This window comes from Homo sapiens, chromosome 1, assembly GCF_000001405.40.
Source record: "Homo sapiens chromosome 1, GRCh38.p14 Primary Assembly".
NCBI classification, from domain to species: Eukaryota; Metazoa; Chordata; class Mammalia; order Primates; family Hominidae; genus Homo; species Homo sapiens.
Window position 1 is genome coordinate 65,776,469 of NC_000001.11, and position 19,168 is coordinate 65,795,636.

Sequence of the window (19,168 nt, forward strand, 5' to 3'; positions counted from 1 at the left end):
ACCAGACTCACACCCTTCTTGGCTTCTGGTACCTGTCATTATATTCTCTATCTCCATGTAATCAAGTGTTTTTAGCTCCCACATGTGAATGAGAACATGTGGAATTTGTCTTTCTGTCCTTGAGTTATTTCACTTAACATAATGTCCTCCAGTTCCATTTATGTTGCAGCAAATGACATAATTTCATTCTTTTTTATGGAGGACTAAAATTATATTTCAGAAATAATGTTTAACTAGATATCTGGGCATCTTGTGACTCCGTTGAGATGACACAAAAATTAACCATGATTAACCTTCTGAATTCAAATGGTTAGACCTTTAATTTATTTTTCTTTCATTTTTTTTTCTTGAGACGGAGTTTTGCTCGTGTTACCCGGGCTGGAATGCAATGGCATGATTTCGGCTCACTGCAAAGTCCACCTCCCAGCTTCAAGCGATTCTCCTGTCTCAGCCTCCCAAGTAGCTGGGATTACAGGCTTGCGCCATCACACCCAGCTAATTTTGTATTTTTAGTAGAGACAGTGTTTCTCCATGTTGCTTAGGCTGGTCTCGAACTCCCGACTTCAGATGATCGGCCTGCCTTGGCCTCCCAAAATGCTGGGATTACAGGTGTGAGCCACCATGCCTGGCCATTTCTTTTTCTTCTCTGCATTAACTTATAAGCCAAGCGTAATGTTAAAGATAGTTATAAAAATTGCATCATGGTACTTTCCCTTACTTTAGTGGAAATGCCTTTACTGTTTTATCTTTAATATGGCTTTTGAGTTGAGGTAGATAAGTTTACCTATCTCAGATCTAGAAAAGATCCAAATAAGCTCAATTAGAATCCTTGTTGATCAAGGATTTATATGCACCTAGATAACTGGGAGGTTTTTTTTCTTAAATAAAAAGTGGTTATTAACTGAGTCTTCTGGTTCCCAACTAGTGACATAGAAGCAAGCTGGCTCTGCTTTCCCCCACAGAAAAGCAAAAACAAATATAAAGGCATCAAGATCATCACTAGCAATATTCCAGAACTCAAATATGAGGAAACAGTTCCTAGGGCCACAGAGAAGAGGAAAAATTCCAAGCAGATGGTATGAAACCCCAAAGACAAATCTATAACAATAATAGCTATAGAAACCTGTTAAGAGTTATGCAATATAAAAATTTTTAAACTGCAACAACATAAAGTAAAAATGTGGGAGGGAGTTAAAATGTAGAGTTTTTAAATTTTTTTCTGTGATTGTTTGTTTCTATTCTTTTTTTGTGATCTAACATAAGTTGTCATCTCCTTAAAATAGCTTCTTATAGCTGTAAGATGTTTTTGTAAGCTTCATGGTAACCACAAAGCTAAAACCTATAATAGATTCACTAAAAATATAAAGCAATGAATTAAAACATACTACCAGAGAAAATCACTAACCACAAAGGGAGACATTAAGAAAGGAAGATAGAAATAAGTTACAAAACAACCAAAAGATAAGCAAGAAAGTAGCAACAGTAAGTCCCCATTTATCAATAAACATGAAAGTAAATGGATTCAATTGTCCAATTAAAAGGCACATAATAGATGAATGAATAAAGAATCAAGAACTATGGCAATCATTAAAAAGTCAGGAAACAACAGGTGCTGGAGAGGATGTGGAGAAATAGGAACACTTTTACACTGTTGGTGGGACTGTAAACTAGTTCAACCATTGTGGAAGTCAGTGTGGCGATTCCTCAGGGATCTAGAACTAGAAATACCATTTGACCCAGCCATCCCATTACTGGGTATATACCCAAATGACTATAAATCATGCTGCTATAAAGACACATGCACACGTATGTTTATTGCGGCATTATTCACAATAGCAAAGACTTGGAACCAACCCAAATGTCCAACAATGATAGACTGGATTAAGAAAATGTGGCACATATACACCATGGAATACTATGCAGCCATAAAAAATGATGAGTTCATGTCCTTTGTAGGGACATGGATGAAATTGGAAACCATCATTCTCAGTAAACTATCGCAAGAACAAAAAACCAAACACCGCATATTCTCACTCATAGGTGGGAATTGAACAATGAGATCACATGGACACAGGAAGGGGAATATCACACTCTGGGGACTGTGGTGGGGTCGGGGGAGGGGGGAGGGATAGCACTGGGAGATATACCTAATGCTAGATGACACGTTAGTGGGTGCAGCGCACCAGCATGGCACATGTATACATATGTAACTAACCTGCACAATGTGCACATGTACCCTAAAAACTTAAAGTATAATAATAATAATAATTAAAAAAGAAAAAAAAAAAGAATGGAGAAGTCAAGAAAAAAAAAAAAAAGAAAAGAAATACAGCAATGAACATGGCATTTGTGAGAAAAAAAAAAAAAAAAAAGAATCAAGAACTAACTATATGCTGTTTACAAGAAACTTACTTTACCTGTAGAGACACACATAAACTAAAAGTGAATAGGCAGAAAAAGATATTCCAAACAATTAGAAACCAAAAAAGAGCAGGAGTCACTAAAGTCATATCAGATAAAATTGACTACAAATCAAAGACTGTAAATAGAGACAAAGAAGGGAACTATATAATGATAAAGGGCTCAATTCAGAAAGAGGCTATAACAATCATAAATATTTATGCACCCAAAACCAGAGCTCTCAATTATGTAAAGAAAACTTTAATAGATCTAAAGGGAGAGATAGGCTGTAGTACAATAATAGTAGGGGACTTCAGCACCCCACTTTGAGTAATAGACTGATCATCCAGACAGACAATCAACAAAGAAATATAGGAGTTAAACCACACACTAGAACAAATATGCCTAACTAACACTAATAGAACATTTCATCCAACTGCTGCAGAATACACATTCTATTCATCAGCACATGGAACATTCTCCAGAATAAACCATATTTTAAACCACAAAACAAGTCTCAACAAATTCAAAAAAGTAGAAATACTATCAAGTATCTTTTCTGACCACAATGAAAACAAACTAGAAATCAATAACTAAAGGAACCTGGGAAATACACAAACAAAGAGAAATTAAACAACATGCTCCTAAATGACCAATGAGTGGAAAAAGAAATTAAGAAGGAAAATTTAAAATCTCTTGAAACAAATAAAAATGGAAATATAACGAACAAAAATCTACGGAATACAGAAAAATCAGTACTAAGAAAGAAGTTTATAGCAATAAACACCTACTTCAAAGAAGTAGAAAGACTTCAAATAAGCAACCTAACAATGCACCCTTCCCAGGCCCTTAAAAAGCAAGAACAAACCAAACCTACAATTAGTAGAAGGAAAGAAATAAAGATCAGAGCAGAAAGAAATGAACTTGAGACTAAACAATCAATACAGAAGATCAATAAAATGACAAGATGGGTTGAAAAGAAAAAATCAACAAATCTTTAGCTACACTAATTAAGAAAAAAGAGAAGACTCAAATAAATAAAATCAGAAATGAGACAGGAGATGTAACAACCAAGACCACAGAAACATAGATAATCTCATATGAAAAGTTATTATAAACAACTACATGCCAACAAATTGGAAAACCTAGAGGAAACAGATAAGTTTTGAAAATGAAGAAATAGAAAACCTCAACAAACCGATAATGAGTAATGAGATTGAGTCAGTAATAAAACATCTCTCATCAAAGAGCACCCAGGACCTGATAGCTTCACTGCTGAATTGTAAAAAAGCACAAAGAAAATGTAATACCAATTCTACTCAAACACTTCAAAAAAATTGAAGAAGAGGGAATACTTCCAAACTTATATGAGGCCAGCATTATCCTGATACTAAAACCAAATAAGTATACCACAAAGAAAAATACATGCCAATATCACTTATTAACATAGATGCAAATATCCTCAACAAAATACTAGCAAACTGAATTCAACAACACATGAAAAAGATCATTCAACGTGGTTAAGTGGGATTCATCTCAGGGATGCTAGGATGATGGTTCAACACACACAAATCAAGAAATGCCTACATTAAAAAGTCTGAAAGGGCACAAATAGACAATCTAAGGTCACACTTCAAGGAACTAGAGAAAGAAGAACAAACCAAACCGAAACCCAGCAGAAGAAAAGAAATAATAATTAAGATCAGAGCAGAACTAAATTAAATTGAAACAAAATAAAATAAAAAAATCAATACAAAAGACAAATGAAACAAAAAGCTGATTGAAAAGATAAACAAAATTGATAGACCACTAGTGAGATTAACCAAGAAAAGAAACGATCCAAATAAGCTCAATTAGAAACAAAATTGGTTATATTAGAGCCAATACCATAGAAATACAAAAGATCACTCAAGGATACTATGAACACCTTTATGCATACAAACTAGAAAACCTAGAGGAGATGGATACATTCCTGGAAATACTCAACCCTCCTAGATTAAGCCAGGAAGAAACAAAAACTCTGAACAGACCAATAACAAGCAGCAAGGTTGAAATGGTAATTTAAAAAAAAATTGCCAACAAAAAAAAGTCTGGGACCAGATAGATTCACATCTGAACTCTATCAGAAAGTCAAAGAAGAATTGATACCAATCTTATTGACACTTCCAAAAGACAGAGAAAGAGTGAATCCTCCCTAAACCATTCTATGAAGCCAGTATTGCCCTAATATCGAAATTAGGAAAGGACATAACAAAAAAAGAAAACTCCAGACCAATATCCCTAATGAACATAGATGCAAAAATACTCAACAAAATACTAGCTAACCGAATCCAACAGCATATAACAAAGATAATCCACCATGATCAAGTGCTTTCATACCAGGGATGCAGAGATGGTTTAACACCTGCAAGTCAATAAATGTGATATACCACATAAACAGAATTAAAAACAAAAATTACAGATTATCTCAATAGACACAGAAATAGCATTTGACAAACTCCAGGATCCCTTTATGATTAAAAGACTCAGCTAAAATCAGCACAGAAGGGACCTACCTTAAGGTAATAAAAGCCATCTATGATAAACCCACAGCCAACATTACACCAAACAGGGAAAAGTTGAAAGCATCCCCCACGAGAACTGGAACACAAAAAGGATGCCTACTTTCATCACTTCTCTTCAACATAGTACTGGAAGTCCTAGCTAGAGCAATCAGACTGGAGAAAGAAATAAAGGGCATCCAAATCAGAAAAGAGGAAGCCAAACTGTTGCTGTTCACTGATAATATGATTGTATATCTAGAAAACCCTAGAGACTCATCCAAAAAGCTCCTAGAACTGATAAATGAATTCAGCAAAATTTCAGTATACTGTAATGTGCACAAATCAGTAGCTCTGCTATACACCAACGGCGACCAAGCTCAGAATCAAATCAAGAACTCAACACTTTTTTACAACAGGTGCAAACAAAACAAAAAAAACTTAAGAATATACCTAACCAAAGCCGTAAAAGATCCATACAAAGAAAACTACACTACAAAACACTGCTGAAAGAAATCATAGATGACACAAACAAATGGAAACATATCCCATGCTCATGGATGGGTGGAATCAATAATGTAAAAATGACCATACTGCCAAAAGCAATCTACAAACTCAATGCAATTCCCATCAAAATATCATCATTGTTCTCATCATCATCTACCATCACTGAGAAAACAATTCTAAAATTCATATGGAACCAAAAAAAGAGCCTGCATAGTGAAAGAAAGACCAAGCAAATATAACAAATCAGGAGGCATCACATTACCTGACTTCAAACTCTACTATAAGGCTACAGTCACCAAAACATCATGGTACTGGCATAAAAATAGGCAAATAGACTGATGGAACAGAATATAGAACCCAGAAATAAAGCCAAATACTTACAGCCAACTGACCTTTGAGAAGGCAAACAAAAACATAAAGTGGGGGAATGGACATCCTATTAAACAAATGAGATGGAATAATTGGCAAGCCACATATAGAAAAATGAAACTGGAAATGAGGATTTCTCATCTTACACAAAAATCAACTCAAGATGGATCAAAGACTTAAATCTAAGACCTGAAACCATAAAAATTCTAGAAGATAACATTGGAAAAACCCTTCTAGACACTGGCTTAGGCAAAGACTTCATGACCAAGAACCCAAAAGCAAATGCAATAAAAATGAATATAAATAGATGGGACTTAATTGAACTAAAAAGTTGGTGTGCAGCAAAAGAAATAATCAGCAGAGTAAACAGACAACCACAAAGTGGGAGAAAATCTTTGCAAAGTATGCATCCGATAAAGAACTAATATCCAGAATCTACAAGGAACTCAAACAAATCAGCAAGAAAAAAAAAACAGACAAACAATCCCATCAAAAAGTAGGCTAAGAACATGAATAGACAATTCTCAAAAGAAAATATACAAATGGCCAAAAAATATGAAAAAATGCTCAACATCACTCATTATCGTGAAAATGCAAATTGAAACCACAATATAATACCATCTTACTCCTGCAAGAATGGCCATAATTAAAAAATAAAAAAAAATAGATATTGGCATGGACGTGGTGAAAAGGGAACACTTTTACACTGCTAATGGGAATGTAAACTAGTACGACCACTATGGAAAATGGTATGGAGATTCCTTAAAGAACTAAAAGTAGATATACCATGTGATCCAGCAATCTCACTACTGAGTATCTACCCAGAGGAAAATAAGTCATTATATGAAAAAGACATTTGCACATGCATGTTTATAGCAGCACAGTTTGCAATTGTAAAAATATAGAATAAGCCCAAATGCCCATCAATCAACGAGTGGATAAAGAAAATGTGGTATATATATTCCATGGAATGCTACTCAGCCATAAAAAGAAATGAAATAATATAATTCACAGCAACCTGCATGGAGTTGGAGGCCATTATTCTAAGTGAAGTAACTCAGGAATTGAAAGCCAAACATCAAATGTTCTCACTTATAAGTGTGAATTAAGCTATGAGGACACAAAGCCATAACAATGATACAATAGGCTTCAGTGACTCGGGGGGAAGATGGTAGGGAGGCGAAGAATATAATACTACACATTGGGTACAGAGTACACTGCTTGGGTAATGGGTGCACCAAAATCTCAGAAATCACCATTAAATAACTTATCCATGTAACCAAACACCACCTGTTCCCCCAAAACCTATTGAAATTTACAAAAATAGCAACAACATCAAGTCAAATACTCCAAAAGAGAAAAAAATGTGATACATCACATCTATAGAACCAAGAACAAAAACCGTATGATAATTACAATAGATGCTGAAAAAGCGTTTGATAAAATTCAACACCCCTTTATGATAAAAATTCTTAACAAACTGGATATGGAAGGAGCATACCTCAACACAACAAAGGCCACATATGACAAATTCACAGCTAACATTGTGCTGAATGGAGAAAAATTGAAAGCCATTCCTCTAAGATCTGGAGCAAGACAAGGATACCCATTTTCACCATTTTATTCAACATAATACTGGGAGTCCTGGCCAGAGCAATTAGGCAAGAGAAAGAAATAAAGGGCATCTAAATTGCAAAGGAAGAGTTCAAATTAGCTTTGTTTGCAGATGACATGACCTTATACTTAAAAAAAATCTGAAGACTCTACCAAAAACTATTTGAATTGATAAATAAGTAAAATTATAAGAATGCAATATCAACATAAAAAATCAGCATTTATATATGCCAACAACAAACAATCTGCACAGTAAATCAAGGAAGCTATTTACAACAGCTACAAAGAATATAAAATGCCTAGGAATCAATTTAACCAAAGAAGTAAAAGTTCTACATAAGGAAAATTATAAAATTCTGATGAAAGAAAATTGAAGTGAACACAAAAAATGGAAAGATATTACATGCTTATGAACTGAAATAATTAATATATTTAAAATTATAACATTATCCAAAACAAATTACAGATTCAATGCAATCTCTATCAAAATGCCAATGATATTCTTCACAGAAATTTAAAAAACCCTTAAAATTTATATGGAAGCACAAAAGACTTTAAATAGTGAAAAGAATCCTGAGCAAAAAGGACAAAGCTGGAGGCATCACACTGACTTCAAAATATGCTATAAAGCAATAGTAACCAAATCAGCATGGTACTGGCATAAAAACTGACACAAAGACCAAGGGAAGCGAATAGAGAACCCAGATATAAATCCACATATTTACAGTAAACACATTTTTGACAAAGGTATCAAAAACATGCTATGGGAAAAGGACAGTTTCTTCAATAAATGGTGCCATGAAACTGAATAACAATATGCAGAAGAGTGAAACTAGACTTTGATTTCTCGTAACATAAAAACATAAAATCAAAATGGATCAGAGACTTAAACTGAGGATCTGAAACTATGAAACTAGTAGAAGAAACTATCGGGCAAATGCTGCAGGACATTGGTCTGGGCAAAAAATTTTGGGGATAAGACCTCAAAAGCACAGGAATCAAAACAAAAGTAGACAAATGAGATTGTAGCAAGCTAAAACAGTTTTGCACAGAAAAGGAAACAATCAACAAAGTGAAGAGACAATCCATAGAATGGGAGAAAATACTTGCAAACTATCTATCTGACAAGGGATTAATAACCAGAATATGTAAGGAGCTCAAACAACTCAAAAGCAAAAATCCCAAATAATCCAATTTAAAAATGGGCAAAAAAGCTCAACACACATTCTCAAAAGTAGACATATAAATGGCCAACAGGCATATGAAAAAATGTTCAGCACCACTAATCATCAGAGAAATGCAAAACAATGAAATGTAATTTCATCCCAGTTAAAATGGCTCTTATTAAAAAGGCAGGAAATAATGGATGCCACTGAAGATGTGGAGAAAGGGCAACCTTCATACATGACTGGTGGGAATGTAAAATAGTAGAGCCACTATGGAAAACTCTATGGAGCTTCCTCAAAAAACTGAAAATAGAACTACCATATGATCCAGCAACTCCACTACTCTGTATATGTCCAAAAGAAAAAAAATCATTATGTTGAAGAGATATCTGCACTCTGTCTATTGCAGCACTATTCAGAATAGCCAAAATATGGAATCAAATTATGTGTCCATCAGTGAATGAATAGATAAAGAAAATATGGTCTATATACACATTGCCATATTTTTTAGCCATAAAAATGGGGAAATACTGTCATTTGCAGCAACATGGATGTAACTGGAGGTCATTATGTTAAGTGAAAAAGCCAAGCACAGAAGGAAAAATATTGCATGTTTTTACACATACGTGGGAGCTGAAAAAGTGGATCTCATTGAGATAGAGAGAAGATTGGTAGTTACCAGAGGCTGGAAAGGAAAGGGAAGAGGGAAAATGAAGAGAGGTTGATGAATGGGTACAAATACACATTTTGATAGATGAAAGAAGAAAACCTTGTGTACCTTGTGTTTGATAGATCAGTAGGGTGACTATAGTTTACAGTTATCTATTGCATATTTCAAAATAGCTAGAAGAGAATAATCAAATGTTGTTAGCATAAAGAAAAGACATTTAATGTGATGGATATCCCAATTACACTGATTTTATCTTTACAATTTATATAAATGTATTAAATTATCACATGTATGCCCCAAATATGTTCATCTATTATGTATCAATACAAAATTAAATTAAATTAAAAAGTGAGAAACTCTTAAAAATGGCTACTGAATTTTTCAGATGCCTTTTTAATGTCTCTAGAATAAAAATTTTATGGTTCTTTCTATTTAGATCTTTCCCTATGATTATTTACCTGAAAAAAATTGTTAATATTGAATTATGCTTATAGTCTTGGATTCTTGATTTAAAAGTAAGACTGGTCTATAGGTTTCCTTTATGTGTGGCCCTTATTAAATTTTAGTATTAGTGCTAAATACTTTATAAAATTTAATTGAAAATTTTCCTTCTTTTTTACACTTTTTAATAGATTAGATATCATGAGAATTATCCATTCTTCAACGGTTTGGTAAAATTTCCTTGTAATATTCATATTGGCTTGGTTACTCATTGGAGGAGGGCAAGGAATTGACAATTTTCTCAACTTTTTCCCTTTGGATTTTCTCTGTCCTCTAGGGTCAGTTTAGGTTAATTATATTTCCCACTAAAAATACCCATTTAACCCAGGTTTTCAAATGCATTTGCATATAGTAGAGCATGTACTGTCAATTGGGGCAATATATCTCCGATATTACAATTCGGAGATATTCTAATTCTCATTAGGGAAAAATTAAATTAAAATTTTCTTGTGAAGCAAAAATGAAAAAATGGTTGAAGAACATTATAACAGATTAAAGTAGTCTTTAGAATTATATTAACATTCTTTATTTCTATGTTTAACCCCTTATAATTTCTTACTTTGTATTTATTTTTTTTATTAATTTAACAATTATTTTAAATATTAAAAAGGCTGGCTTTTCAAATTACACATTAGCTCTAATCACCTTCCTTTCTTAACTCATTTATTAATTCTTCTAAATTGTTTAATATTTTTTAGTTTTCTTCTATTTAATAGTTGTTTTTCTAACTTTTTGAGTTGGTGCATAATTCATGAATTAAGCTTAAGCTGTATCACGGAATTCTATTCAGTAGTGTTTTCATACCTCATTATTTTCAAGAAATCCTACAATTTTTGTTCATAAAGTTATTTAAGAGAGTTTTTTGTTTAGAATTTTCACGTGGAAAGATTTTTATTTTTCTGATTTTTCTATTAATTTCTGTTTTTATGGAATTGTGATCATATAGTGTTGTCCATAATTTCCTATTTTTGCATTTTATCTTTATGGTTTAATAAATGGCAATTTTTATGAATATAATATTAGCCCTTAAAAAGAATATGTAATCTCTACTTTTGAGGCACAAAGTCTGATATATGTAGAGTTTGACTGAGGGAGATGAGTAAAACTGTCCTATTTTTGGTCTGTTACTTTCCATATGTCTTTATATCTCTTGTAATAAAACTTGTATATACAAATTTCTGCTATGTATTTGGTTCATAGATATTTATAAATTTCACATCTTCATTGTGATTTTTACTTTTTCTATCATAAAGTGCTTTTCTTTGTTTTATTTAATACTTGTTTGTCCTGAGTCCAACTTGTCTGAAATTAAAGTCATAAGTACTGCTATATTATTATTATTCCTTTTCCATGTATTTGGGTGGGGGGAATGTGCAGGGGCATTATTTGGGTAAAACTCTGCTCTTCCTTTAATTTTCAACCATCTGAACCTTTTTTTTCCAATGTGTACTTATATATAGCATGGAGTTTTGGTTTTAATGCAATTTGAAAATGCTTTTAAAAAATAGCTTAAAATGTGTATTGATTGAAAAATATTTGTCACAATTCTTTGATATATACATGGATACGTGTGTGATTATACACATGCGCATGAGTTTATGGTTCCTCTGACATTTAACAAGGTGTGCACTAAGGTGCAAATTTGCTCTCCAGCTGCTACCTTTATAATTCCATCTTTATATACTCATATTCTCTATTGTTTTGGATATAACAGTTATGAGCAATGATAAATTGGTATGTATCCTCTTCTTTTTCCTATACTGCATTTTATCAGCTGTCATATTTTGTTTAAAAATTACATTTCTTAGTGTTTATCTTTTTATGTTATGCGTGCTTACTCTACTACTTGTATGTCAGCTTTAAATGACATTTTCAACCTCAACAGTTACAGGTGAGTCAGTCAATGAACTTATTCTAATTACCACCATCTTTTTTCTTTCCCTTCCTAACATTTGTGATTTGTGTCATTTCTATATTTTCAAAACCTATAACATTCAAACATTTTTTGTAGTATTAGTTTTACAGTAAAAATATATTTGGTGTTCACCACCAGTCATTTTGAGAAAGTTTTCCCTTTTTTATTCTAGTATATCCCCTTATGGGAGGAATATTCTTTGAGTTTTAATGTTTAAAAATATGACATTTATATATGATGAATAACTAGCCAGATATAAAATCCTTAGATCATTATTTTTTTTCATGAGAATATAATAAGTTTTGTTTCCATTCTCATTGGAACAAAAGCCCATTGTCATTAGGCTTTGAATGTTGCTTTCAAGAAGACTGAGGGTAGGTTGATTTCTTTTTCTTTCTACAAGAATTGATTTTTTTTTCTTTTCTGCTTCAAAGGTTCCTTACATATATATAAAACTCAATAATTTGTTAGTATATTTCTTTGTTCAACCATCATGAATCATTTTTTTCTACTACATGGTATTTATTTTGAACATGTAGATTGAAGTCTTTTTTTTATCAGTTTCAAGAAAGTTTTTTAAAAATTTTGCTTAAACATTTGCTCTGTTCCACTGATAAGGTTTTCTTCTTTTTTTTTCTGGGTGATTTTTTTTTTGTTTTAAAATTATTATTATACTTTAAGTTTTAGGGTACATGTGCAACATGTGCAGGTTAGTTACATATGTATACATGTGCCATGCTGGTGTGCTGCACCCATTCTTCTTTAGAGACTCCAATTATATGTGTGTTGTATTTCATCTATCATTATCAGTTTCACACAAATACTTTTATTTGCTATGTCTTACTTATCTGCAATACTTAGTCCTTTTTTGTATTTCTTCCAATATTGTCTTCATTTCTGTCATGGTTTGCTTTTCTTCTTCTTTCTGCTAAAAAAATCAACTAATTTCATCCTCCTCATCTCTCTCTTGAGTTTCTTCATTTGTGCCTTTTGGTTTTCCTTAATAGATGATGTTTATTTCTTAACATATCAACAAATATGCTTAATTTAGAGAAACTATGCTGCTTATGAATAAGAGCAAAGACTCTAGAACAAGATTAACTGTGTTTAAATACGGGGTCTTCCTCTAACTGTGTGATCTTGAGTGTTACTTAACTTGTCCCTTAGGTCTTTAAATCTATATAATGGTAATAATAATAACAATATCTAATTTACAGAGTTGTGTTGAGAATCAGTTGAGTTCATATCTCTACAAAGTGGTAAGAATATTGCCTGGCAACAGTAAATACTATGCTAAAGTATTATTAGTTTTTTTCTTGCATTTCGAAATTTATAGTCACAATTTTAATTGTCTCTGTGACAACACTTTTTCCTCTCATCTATTAAAAAGTTTTGATGCTAATTTTCTGAATTTTAAAAATAGTATGTCTGTATCTGTGTTATGCCAGTTTCTTCTTTATCACTGCTCACTATTGAATGAATTATTTTTCTGGTCAAATTCCTTAGAGAAAGTTCCTGAAGTGGAGGTTGCAAAGTGGCTTTCCTGTTCTCAAAACAAATAGCTCCCACTTAATGATCCCCAATAATTGACACCTCCCTCTACCCATGCCCATAAAATACTCCCACATTGACTCTGGACTTAGCTACATGACTTGCTTTAGCCAACGGGACATTAACAAACACAACACATACAGAAGCTTGAAACTTGAAAGTGTGTGAACACTACAGCATGAACACTAGGCTGCCATTTCTCTTGCTACTGGGAACATGTCTACCTCCATGTGAAAAAGCCTGACTAGCTTCCTGGGAAAAGGCCCTAGGTGTCCAAGCCATCCCTTCCAGAGGCCCAGATTTGTGAGTAAGACCTGCTGATACCGCATGGGGCAGAGATTAGCCATTGAGCCCACACAGCTGAGCCCATCCCAATTTTCCATCTCACTAAATTGTAGGCAAATCACTGGTAGCTTTTTAAACCATTGTTTCGGGTGGCTTGTTATGCAGCAATAGATTATGGATTCACTTTTACTGTTGCCTCACAAACAGACTGCTTTTAGTAGTTATGGCATCTTTGTATACTCACTTCCTCTGAGACTCTGAAGGGAATTATGTCCAGAAGATCCTTTTCCAGTAGTTCTCTGCTCCCCAGTTCTTAAAAAGAAGGAACAGGACTTTTACATTTCATAGTGATTTGACCATCTTCAAGCACTAAAGTTTTGCTGACCCTGAGATCTGCTCCTACCATGTTTCTGGGAACTCCCTGTTCTCCTTTTGTCATCTGTATGTATGTATCTCTTTTGCCTTCTTCCTTCTGCTTCTGCTCCAGTTTTTGAGAGACAGCTTTGCATTTTACGACACACCTCTCATTTCCCAGAAAACATACTTTTGCTGGCACTTTCTGATACTTCTAGTGCTGGTTCCCATTGCCTCTCCCTGGGCCTTTTCCATATGACTTCTGCCCAAACTCAGCTGCTTTTGGTAACCTTTAGAAGCGCTTTGGGGTTTGTAGGTAAAATCTATATAAATTTGTTGAAAATGGTGTTTGACAGTTTTTTTCCATTCTCTTTGTTAGTTTATGTAATTTTTAGAAAGAGATGAGAAAGATGCTTAAAAAGCTGACATCATTTTCTACTGGAATCCGTATATAATTCTTTTTGCAGTAAGAACTCTTTGGACACATTTTTCTGAAGATGATGTAATAACCTTGGGAGGCTTAGTAATTATTAATACCTTTCAAATTTCTCATATTCAAAAAGGGGCAGCATGATGCTCAAATTGGTTCTTTTTTTCCCCTAGATTGAACTACAATTTAGATTCCTTACACTCTCTTTAGGCAATGGTTGCCTTATATTTAATACATCTAACTAATCCTAACTGTAGTTCAGAAAAAGAGATTCCATTATCATCATTTTACAGATGAAAACTGTGAGAACAATGACTACATTGCGGATTTTGTTGGCTTCCTTTCAGGTGCTTATTGCCTCACTATTATTAATTTTGGCTTTGGGCTCAATTTCAAGGTTATGGATGAGGTAGATGGTATAGTGTAAGCAACAGGTCCAAAAAGGCAGAATAACCAGCGAACACTTGGTAGCATCTCAGATGTGGGGAAATAGGTGTTTTATACTCCAAACGCTAGTGTTTGAATATGTTTCCTCCAAAACCATGAAGGGGAAAGTTCATTAAGTTCCTACACTGATAAGCTCTTAGACATGCCTTTCAATGTACAGGCATGTAAAGCTATTTTGGGTGAATGGGTGAATAGTAGGTTATTAGGTTATTGCCCTTCTTTGGGAGGTCCCTATTTGTCCTTTAATACACAGTTCAGATGGGATTTAAATTCCCTGACCTGTTCCTTCTCTTACATAGAAAAAATTGCTTCCACTTATGCAATTGGCATGTGCTTCTGTTGTGAAATACTTGTGTTGTTTGTCTCGGGCTTTCATAGTTGGTTCTCCTATTAGGCAGTGAGCTCCTTGGGTGCAGAGACTATGTCCTAATCGACTCTGCATCCTTAGCTTCTGCAAAGTGCTCAGTGCACAGTAGGTGTGCATGATGTTTATTGGAATAAATCGAGAAACAGGCGAATGTTGTCTATTAAAGTCATTTTGGTCTCTAGCTACTGTAGTAGTTGGATAGGCAAAGTTACTTCATGCCTATCTTCCTCCTCTTTTCCTTGCCAGCTTCCTTCTTTTTTTCTCTGACTGAAAGGGCTGGACAACCGGGGAAAAGGAAACTTGTGCTTTCCAGCATACCTCTCCCACTCTACACACACACACACACACACTCTCTCTCTCTCTCTCTCTCTCTCTCTCTCGCTCTCGCTCTCGCTCTCTCTCCATCCTGTTGCATTTTTAAAGCAGGCTCAGTCAGGTTACTGAGTGCCTGTTGCTCCATCACACGAATTCCCAAGTTGTGGGACTCACCTTCAGGGGTGTCTTGGTGGAGCACCTCTTGGGAGGTGATCTGACCTGTTGGTTCAGGAGCACTGCGCGTATTCACTCTGGCGCTCCTTTGTGCAACAGGAGACCAGAGGACTCCCACGGTCCCACTGGCTCCTTCCACGTAATGTGCCCCGCTGGCTCTCTCGCCTCCCCCAACCCGGGGGTCTGCGTCCCCTGCGCCCCAGTCCCTCTTTGTGCAGCCAGTAGCTGCAGAGCTCTTCGTCTTGTATTCATGGCAGATGCACAGCGAGTGACTGACACGTTCCAGGGACGGCGAATGGGAAAGAGCGCGGGCGGCCGGGGGAGGGTGTGTAGTGGCAGACGGCCGCTGGGATTATGAATGGGGGCTGGGGGGCCGGCGAGTGTGGGGTTCAAACCAGGATTTTCGGTCTCTGGCTTTGGATAGGCACGCAGGGCTGTGCGTAATCCTTCAGCTCTGGTGGTAAGGGAGATGCAGTGAGCTCCCGGCTGGGAGAGAGGGTTATTTTGCAAAACTCCCCTGGTACCGTGCCCGCGGAATATTGCAGGAGGTCTGTGAGGTAGGTGGGGGAAAAAATAACCTGGGAGGGCAATCAGGGAGAGGCCAGACGACTGGGGACGGCGTGCTTTGCACCCTAGAATTGACAGGTGGTGGCCTCAGCAGTTACAACCTACTACACAGCATCTCGTCCGTGCGATACGGTCACATTGTTATTCCCCGCACCCGGCTGAGGAGCGCAGCGCGGCAGACCAAGTGGCACCGGCGAGCTGTCTCTCTTCCGGGGGGCGGGGGTGGACAGTAGGGAGAGGGGGTTTAAAGGGCCAGAGGACGAGAGAAGAGCTGAGGGGCGCGTCGCCAGCGCCTGTGTCTCCCTGGCGCGGGTTCCCCAGGCTAGCCCGCTGGCCCGTCCGCGCGCGCGCCCCCGGCCCGCGCGCCCCTTCCCGGGGCTCCTGGCCTCGCCTCAGCGGCTGCAGGCTCTTCGTCGCGGGCCGGGCTGCACGCGAGCGCCCTCCGGGCAGACTTTCGTCCCCCACCCCCGGGAGCGCGGAAGGCTCACTCGCAGCGCATGGTCTACCCGCGCCGGGCGGAGCCCCGGCGTCCAGAGCGCTGCGGCCGCGGCGGTGCAGCAGAGGCGCCTCGGGCAGGAGGAGGGCGGCTTCTGCGAGGGCAGCCTGAGGTAAGGGCTGCCTAGGAGGCTGCGGGTTTATTTTTCCTCATTCTCTTACTTCATCACACACTGAAGCCTCAATGGAGAGTGTAGGGTGCTGTGGGGCTGATGTGGGGCAAAGAGGGAATGGGGCCGCCGGGCCTGGATGGTCGTCTTGACGGCGTCATTGTCGCCCCTTGTAGGAAATCCGCCAACCGGCCCCTAGCCTTTCGCCCTCATCTTCTCTGCTTCGGCTTCCGCCCTTGGACCTCTTGACAAGTCACTGGGGAGGAGAGGATGGAGAGAGGCTAAGGGAGAATGGAGAGAGGCAGAAGGATTCAGGGCTTGGAAGCCCTGGAGTAGGTGACGGATGGGCGCGCGGTGCCCAGTGATTGACTGCAGGCAGCGGGCGCGGAAGGGAACCTGAACTACCCAAGAGTTTGCTGGGCTGAGGCTCCAGGATGCTCCTGCGTGCCCTGGTGGCTGGGGCACCAAGGAGGGGCGCACTCAAGCCTCGGCATCACCAAGGCTCTGCCAGGAACTTTTGGGAAGATTTGTCTGGTGTTTGGTGAGGGGGCTTGGACCTTTCTAGCTACAAGAGTGTGTTGGGGAAGGAAGAGGCTCTCCTCCTTTCTCCTGTCACTTTCCTTCATGCCTACTCTCTTCTTCCATCTTCCTGTTTTGCCTCCTTCCTTCCCGTTTTTCACAGGCCACCTTCCTTGTGCGGTACTTCAAACACAAATCGGAACCCACTATGGCCAACAGCTTTAAAGCGTGTATAAGGAGGAGCGCACAGAAGAATCGCTCTTAATTACAGTAGTTATATATGTGTGTGTGTGTGTCTGTGTGTGTCACACACGTGCCTGGGATAATTTTTAGCAAGACTTTGAGACGGTCACCTAAAATTACATTGTACTTACATTAGGTTTACATCATAATTATATGATGCCACTGAACAGAAATGGTAACTCTATGCATTCTGCATCTTAGATCTGAGATATAACTGTTCTTTGAATCACATGCATCGTTTAATTTCAAAGATTTCCAGCTGCTGGAAAACTCTTGGCTAAGTTATAAGAATGAAAGGCACATTAAGCATAAAAAAAGTAATAAATGTCCAGATACTATTTTTATTAGTAGATCATACTCCCCCTCCGTTTCCTTTTGCCAAAAGCTGTTATTATACCAATTATATTCATAAAAACGAAACAAATTTGGAGATTTCAGTGTTTTTACCTACAACCTGAAGTGTAGGTAGGGGTCTAGAATTTATCTGTACATGAATTCACAAGAAGATAGATAAGGCCAATGATTTCACTGCAGGTAAAGGAAGTTGAGCTTCTTCTCTCTCAGGATACCTCATTTCTTGGTATCCCAAGAGAGAAATCCCCTTAATGTCAATAAATATAGCATTGGTCTCTTCAGCTCTTCAAATCAATACTTGTAGGACTTGACTGTAATATGTTTGCTGGCTGTTTCTATTCTTTTTCATTTTCTAAACAACAACGTGCCAATTTTGTTAATTTACAAAAAATAAGTAAGATTGTTAAATGGACTGGAATTTATGAGATGGCATGATCGATGCATTGAGGCTGTTTATCTATATATCTATCATCTTTCTATTTTTCTTGTTACAGTTGGGAGCTAAACAATGTTGCAGTGTGTCTACTTGTATTTTTATCAGCTGATTTGCTTTTCAGTTTCTTTATGGCTTGACATATTTTGCAAAAATGAATTGTCTTAAATTTCTCTAGAGAGTAACCTGTTAGACATACTGTTTGCTTTCAAAATAGGACTGTTTTTTGATTTGAGGAATAAGAAATCAATCATACATGGTTTTCTGATCTTGGAGTCCTTTGCCTGTCTAGAGACAGGTATTTAAGTATTTAACAGTAATAGTTACTGTGTATGTACAAATAAAGGCTTGTTTGATAAAGATACTGGACACAGAAATAATAATTCCATTTTGGTTTACAAATGCAATATTTAAAATTGTGAAGAAATAAAGAGTTCTAGGTTACTCCTAATATCTTACTTGACTTAATTTGGCTAAGGAGCAAGAGGTATATGAAGAGGTCTTCAGTTAGAAAGATTTGGTGGTTAGTAATTTATTATCATGTCATACAATTTCACCCATTTCTATTTCCAAAAACCTTCAAACAGCATAGTTTGGACAAGGTTTAGGATGTTGCTGACCACAAAACAAATGAGTTCCTTCAGGCACTGGCTATTGTAGCCACCATGTGGTAATACAGTGGACACTGTGATGTGCCAAATCGTTCTTCAAGGAGGGACTTGTTGCCCCAGCTTCTGGGAGTGTGGTCAACAGATGGCCTTCAATAGTCAGACTCTTCAGGGATTGCCTGAGCTGTAGAAAGCTCCCTTGTCCAAGGTCACACCCCTTTCCAGCGCAGCTCA

The 19,168-nt window shown here is 36.9% G+C and overlaps 1 protein-coding gene across 3 annotated transcripts in view; it reads left to right on the plus strand.

Annotated features, from left to right (window-relative positions):
- The window catches only part of PDE4B (phosphodiesterase 4B), a 582,070-nt gene continuing 578,943 nt past the window's right edge, over positions 16,042–19,168 (plus strand). For 2 of the 3 annotated variants that reach the window (NM_001037341.2, NM_001297440.2), the window contains exon 1: positions 16,042–16,162. The gene's annotated coding sequence lies outside the window, so the exon portion shown is untranslated. Of the gene's footprint in view, positions 16,163–16,426; positions 16,781–19,168 lie in introns of those variants that run through there. The other variant, NM_002600.4, reaches the window with a different exon arrangement.